Source organism: Homo sapiens, chromosome 8 (genome assembly GCF_000001405.40).
Source record: "Homo sapiens chromosome 8, GRCh38.p14 Primary Assembly".
Taxonomy (NCBI): Eukaryota; Metazoa; Chordata; class Mammalia; order Primates; family Hominidae; genus Homo; species Homo sapiens.
This window is the reverse complement of record NC_000008.11, coordinates 129,328,571-129,335,050: the sequence shown is the minus strand read 5'-3', so window position 1 is coordinate 129,335,050 and position 6,480 is coordinate 129,328,571. Positions and strand designations below refer to the sequence as shown.

Sequence of the window (6,480 nt, the reverse complement as noted above, 5' to 3'; positions counted from 1 at the left end):
CTGAGGAATGGAGAGACGGGGGAAATAAAGTACACTTGGCCTACGTGATCACCAGTCTCCGTGAAATTTTCAGTCTGGGAAATATTTTGCAAGTGTGATCTATTCAAAATTTCTTCTCAGTTATTGAGTGTATGTTATTGTAAACCAAAGATGCCTAACATAGGGGAGCTTTGCTTTCCAGCATGGAAACCATGATGCCTAGCTTCATATGATGCAGATAATAACCACCACTTACTCCTAGACAAAAGGCAGCTTCTGTAGATGACTGGGTTTCACTTTTGTGGGTGACAGAAAAGAAAGGAAGAAAAACTAGCATAAAGCAAAATAGTGTGGTGGCAACTCAGGGAATTACTTATTTTTCTGCTGCTCTGGTGTCTTGGGAGTGGAAGCACATCTTGTCAATAGTGAATAGAAGCAGACATGAATTATTATTATGGTCTCTGCCTCATAATTTCTGTGTCACCAAGATGTGCTCTGTTTATTACTGCACTTAGAAAGCTTTGGAATATTAGCCACATAAAGTTTCTCTTCATGGATTCTATTACCACACTCTTCAGTTGTTCCAGGAAACCAAGACTGTGGAATCACATTTCTGGGGAGAAATAGCTCTCAGCCTTGGCTCTTTCTGGCTGTGCAGTACACTGGGAAAATTTTGTCATAGATCATTAAAGCAAGAATGATCCCCAGAGATCCTCTGCCTTATCTCTCCATCCCCCCACTGCACATTTGAGGGATTGAGATGCAGGGAGAGAGTAGACATGTTCAAAATCATAGAACACATTATAGATTTCAATTTCCATTGCATATTCCCGGTTCAGTGGACTTGCTGTTGTGGGATCCAACCAACCTCCTTTGGTTGGGTCCAAATGCTCATGAGTGGAATTAAGGAAAGAAGGGTGACAGTTTAAACAATGGGCCAATTTTGTGAATCATGGGATGCCTCAGTTTCCAGTGGATGAAAACGACAAAGGTATGTTGGAAATTTAAACATGAAAGACAGAGTAAAAATGATTCAGATTCTGTCAAAGCTCCTTGAGCGCACTCAGGCATCTAATGTTTTCTCTCTTTGTAAGGAAGACAAACAGAAGGTCTTCCCAAAGTGAGCACCTTGAGCCTCAGTTTCTTCCTCTGTAGAAATGGGACCTGCCTTACAGGACTGTTGTTGGACAAAATTAGATTGGATATGTAGCACCTAACAATGCTCCAGATACAGGAGGCCCTCCATGCCCTCCCTTCTTCCATTCTTACTGAGAGAGGAACAGTATTTCCAATGACTGGTCATGGTATTCTGATCTCTGCACAATGATGAGGATGGAGTTGAGGCAGGATTTTGGGGAGATGGGGAACAACATCTGATTCTAATCTCGTCATTAAGATTTTAAAAGCTCCCAAAGGACAAGGATCACATGAAATTGTTTCCCTTACAGTGGCTCCCCATGGCACTCATAATTAAAGGCAAAATCCTAATACACAGGGCCTAGAAGGCCTTCTGTGTTCAGAATCCTCATCACCTCTCTCCTCTTGTGCTTCTTTTTCTCTGCTACTTTTGCTGCATGGAATGAGAACAAAGACAGTGGTCAAGAAGTATTTATTAAATGAGCTATCTTCACAATCCCTATGTGGGCTAGATTAGCAGTAGAGGAACAGTTCATTAAAGTTTAAATTCTTTGGATTATTTATATACCTGATAAATTATTCAACAGTTAAAAAGTCCAAAACATGGTAGCACCCAATGAAGGCAGGACTTGGTGAAATTAATACACTAATATGCCGCTGATTGGTGTGCAACTAGTGATTGTTTTGTGATTGCAATTGGCAATACATATTAAAAACCATAAGAAAGATAAATTCCTTTCATTTAGTAATGTTATTCACAGAATAAAATCTAAGGTAAAAAACATTGCAGTAAAATGGCCACACTAGTAAGATATTCTTTGCAGCATTATGTATAATAGCAAAAATATTGAAACATTAGAATGGTTAAACTAAATAATAGTTTATCTATTCAATGGAATGCTATGAATAATTATATATAATAATTAAAAATATAATGCTAAAACTTTTTTTTTACCAAATAATGTTAAAAGGAATATTAAGTAGTATCTGCACTATAATAATAATTATATTAATGTGAATTTATATGGACAAGAAATGAACAAGAATGGTAAGAATATATAATATAAAAATTGTGATTTGTATTGTATAAAATTTTGCTAATTTAAAGATAGATTATATATTATTTATGTGTATCTAATTTAAATATATTTTATAAGAAAATATAGCAATAAAGTAATAAATAGGAAAATGTTATTTATTAGAAATATTTCAATAATTTTTTTAGTTTTCTGATTTTTATTTGGAAAAAGATTTTTCTTCTATTGAAATATGAAAGTGAGGGGACAATCATTGCTCTTCGTATGAGAGGTAAAATTGCATTTCCTTTAGTTCTGTCTATGCCTTTCTCTTTACTTTTCTTTCAATCAAAAATAGCCTCTCCTCCAACTTCACCTGTAATTACTCATCCTTCAGTTTTTTCTCTGAATGCCTATCCTCCAATAAGCTTTCTGAAGCCCTTCTCAGTTACTATTCCTTTAATTTATACATAGGAGATAAAAATATTTGTAGTACTCATCATCCATCTATCCATCCATAGAATCAACAAGGAGACAAGTCTTCCCCAATGCCTCAATGGTTATTTGGAATTTAAGGTGTTCATTTGAGACTTCAAGTCTGTTTTTCAAGGACATCGACAAGAAGAAAAAAATGACAATCTGTTGTGTCTTTATCTTTTTCTTTTTTAAAAAATGATCATTTATTTTGGCCACAATTCCTGGTGGAGCATTCGTCTAATTTAACTGTATTTCTCATAGTATCACAGGCCAATGGCTAAATGAGTTGCCTTTATTGCACTGGAATCCAGCTTCAGCATGTTTCCAATATCTGGTGAAAATATCCATTCACATAAACAGAAACTCCACAGTAGCTACATGTGGAAGTTCTGAGGTAATGTCGCCTTTCTCAAAAAGCTTCAGTTTAGAATTTTCCAGAGTAACCCACGAAGCAGTTGGTTTTATGCCTGAGATTCTCCATTCCCATTGGGTCACATAAACTGAGTGAGAGCAGACAGGGGAGATGGTGAGTGGCTGCCATATTCCAATCAGTGCAAGATTTCTCTTTTCTGGTTCATAAAGAGTTCCTAATCACATCTGGAAAAGAAAATAGTAGAAGTGCACTAGGATAAGTGAGTGAGGAAGAAAAAAGCAGAAGAGTGTTTTTTGAGTGACTACAATGTGCCAGATCCATACACACTTATTATACTTTAAGTTCTGGGGCACATGTGCAGAACGTTCAGTTTTGTTACGTAGGTATACACGTGCCATGGTGGGTTGCTGCACCCATCAACCTGTCATCTACATTAGGTATTTCTCCTAATGCTATCCCTCCGCTAGCCCCCCACCCACCGACTGGCCCCGCTATACACACGTTTTTGATATCACATTGCATTTTGAAAAAGCCATGTGACTTCTCAGATGCCATTATCCAAGCTGAAAAATGTAAGAAGAAAAAACAAAAACTTTGTGATGGTTAATTTTACATGTCAGCTTGACTGGGTTAAGGGGTACTCACATTTACCAACTAATGCTGGTCAAGCTTTAGCTCTGGGTATGCCCTTGAAAGTGCTTCCAGAAGAGATTGACATCTGCATCGGTGGGTGGAGTAAGAAAGATCTGCCCTCACCATGTGGGTGGACATCGTCCAATTCATCGAAGGCCTGGATAGAATTAAAAGGCAGTGGAAAGATGAAGTCACTTTTTTCTCTGGAGCTGAGACTTTCAGTTTTCCTACCTTGGACATCAGGACTCCAGGTTTTTGGCCGCAGATATGGAAACTTACACCGGCCCTGCAGCCCCGCCCCCCTTCCTCCCCGCCCCCCATGTTCTTGGGCCTTTGGCCTTGAACTGAGACTTACACCATTGGCTCTGCTGGTTCTCAGGCCTTTTGATTCAGACTTAATTACACAACCAGCGTCTCTGGTTCACCAGCTTGCTGGAGCGCATATGGTGGGACTTCTCAGCATGTGGTCCAATTTTCGTATGTGATTCCATATGTGATCCAGTTCCCACAATAATCCCCCTTTTATCTATCTATCTATCTATCTATCTATCTATCTATCTATCTATCTATCATCTATCTATCTATCTATCTATCTACGTATCTCCTATTGGCTCTGTTTCTCTGGAGTAACCAGACTAATACATACTTGGAACAAAAAACAAGATCACCCAGCAAGCCAGCAAGCCAATGACAGAGCCCATCATCCTGCTGAGAAGGCAGTTTATAATAGTGATATTCTGTGCAAGTCCCAGGAAAATGCTTTTTGGCATCAAACCAAATATAGAATAGGGTGAATAGGCAGCAAATGAGATGTTTTATTGAAGATCAAGCTAGTTCACATGAATCATTTCATCCCATCCTTTTTATCTTGCTCCTATGTAGATATCATTAATCCATTCAGCTGAAGCTCTTGATTTCTGAATGTCTTAATCTCCAACTGCCTGGAATTTGTTTTTTGTCAGTTGAAGCTTCTTTTGCTTAATTACATATCAGGCAAGCTGGAAGTGTTAGAGAAATGATATAGGGAACTTCCTAACCAATGACTGATGGGAGTTGGTGGGTAAATACTCCAGCTCCATCCCCCAGAGTGAAAGGACTCTGAGGAGTCAGTTCTATACTGACTATCAGAGTTCTATACAGTATCAGGGATTAAGTTATATGTTCCCACAGTCCTAATAAGCATAATAACGTACTCTGTAAAAGCTGCCTTCCTTCTTTAATTATGTTCCCACTTTCCTACAAGTGTTTGCTGGTATCATCTCTCGAACAAAATACTTCCACTCAAGTCTTTGCCTCAGGGTCAGCTTCTGGGAGAGCACAATCAAAGACAATTCCACTTGGTGGGAGGTGTTACTCAGGTACAGAACATGTGTTTGGAGCCTGTGAGTAGCAGAGCTCATTATGACTGCCTATCACCTTCAAAAATATGACTCCCAATTTATAAATGTATATACTGAGAGCCAAAATATGTGTTTTATAATACCACATATTTAGATAGACAAGAGTTTGGTAAATGACAGCTCATGGGCCAAATCTGGCTTTCTACCTGTTTGTTTTTATGTTCTGCATCCTGCAAGCTAAGAATGATTTTTACATTTTTTTCTTTTTATTTATTTATTTATTTATTTATTTATTTATTTATTATTATTATACTTTAAGTTTTAGGGTACATGTGCACAATGTGCATGTTAGTTACATACGTATACATGTACCATGCTGGTGCGCTGCACCCACTAACTCATCATCTAGCATTAGGTATGTCTGCCAGTGCTATCCCTCCCCCCTCCCCCCACCCCACAACAGTACCCAGAGTGTGATGTTCCCCTTCCTGTGTCCATGTGTTCTCATTGTTCAATTCCCACCTATGAGTGAGAATATGTGTTTGGTTTTTTGTTCTTGCAACAGTTTACTGAGAATGATGATTTCCAATTTCATCCATGTCCCTACAAAGGATATGAACTCATCATTTTTTATGGCTGCATAGTATTCCATGGTGTATATGTGCCACATTTTCTTAATCCAGTCTATCATTGTTGGACATTTGGGTTGGTTCCAAGTCTTTGCTATTGTGAATAATGCTGCAATAAACATACGTGTGCATGTGTCTTTATAGCAGCATGATTTATAGTCCTTTGGGTATATACCCAGTAATGGGATGGCTGGGTCAAATGGTATTTCTAGTTCTAGATCCCTGAGGAATCGCCACACTGACTTCCACAATGGTTGAACTAGTTTACAGTCCCACCAACAGTGTAAAAGTGTTCCTATTTCTCCACATCCTCTCCAGCACCTGTTGTTTCCTGACTTTTTAATGATCACCATTCTAACTGGTGTGAGATGGTATCTCATTGTGGTTTTGATTTGCATTTCTCTGATGGCCAGTGATGATGAGCATTTTTTCATGTGTTTTTTGGCTGCATAAATGTCTTCTTTTGAGAAGTGTCTGTTCATGTCCTTCACCCACTTTTTGATGGGGTTGTTTGTTTTTTTCTTGTAAATTTGTTTGAGTTCATTATAGATTCTGGATATTAGTCCTTTGTCAGATAAGTAGATTGCGAAAATTGTCTCCCATTTTGTAGGTTGCCTGTTCACTCTGATGGTAGTTTCTTTTGCTGTGCAGAAGCTCTTTAGTTTAATTAGATCCCATTTGTCAATTTTGGGTTTTGTTGCCATTGCTTTTGGTGTTTTAGTCATGAAGTCCTTGTCCACGCCTATGTCCTGAATGGTAATGCCTAGGTTTTCTTCTAGAGTTTTTATGGTTTTAGGTCTAACGTTTAAGTCTTTAATCCATCTTGAATTGATTTTTGTATAAGGTGTAAGGAAGGGATCCAGTTTCAGCTTTCTACATATGGCTAGCCAGTTTTC

The 6,480-nt window shown here is 38.2% G+C and overlaps 2 annotated features.

Moving 5' to 3' along the window:
• Window positions 2,879–4,078: an enhancer, noted in NCBI's record as "BRD4-independent group 4 enhancer chr8:130343219-130344418 (GRCh37/hg19 assembly coordinates)". NCBI's record gives its function as "activates an origin of replication core promoter dependent on BRD2, P300/CBP, MED14 and CDK7 cofactors, and independent of BRD4, by STARR-seq in HCT116 cells {active_cell/tissue: HCT116}" and the evidence as "EXISTENCE:reporter gene assay evidence [ECO:0000049][PMID:35650434]".
• Window positions 4,482–4,682: a silencer, noted in NCBI's record as "peak7173 fragment used in MPRA reporter construct". NCBI's record gives its function as "represses an SCP1 promoter by STARR-seq MPRAs in K562 erythroleukemia cells {active_cell/tissue: K562}" and the evidence as "EXISTENCE:reporter gene assay evidence [ECO:0000049][PMID:32103011]".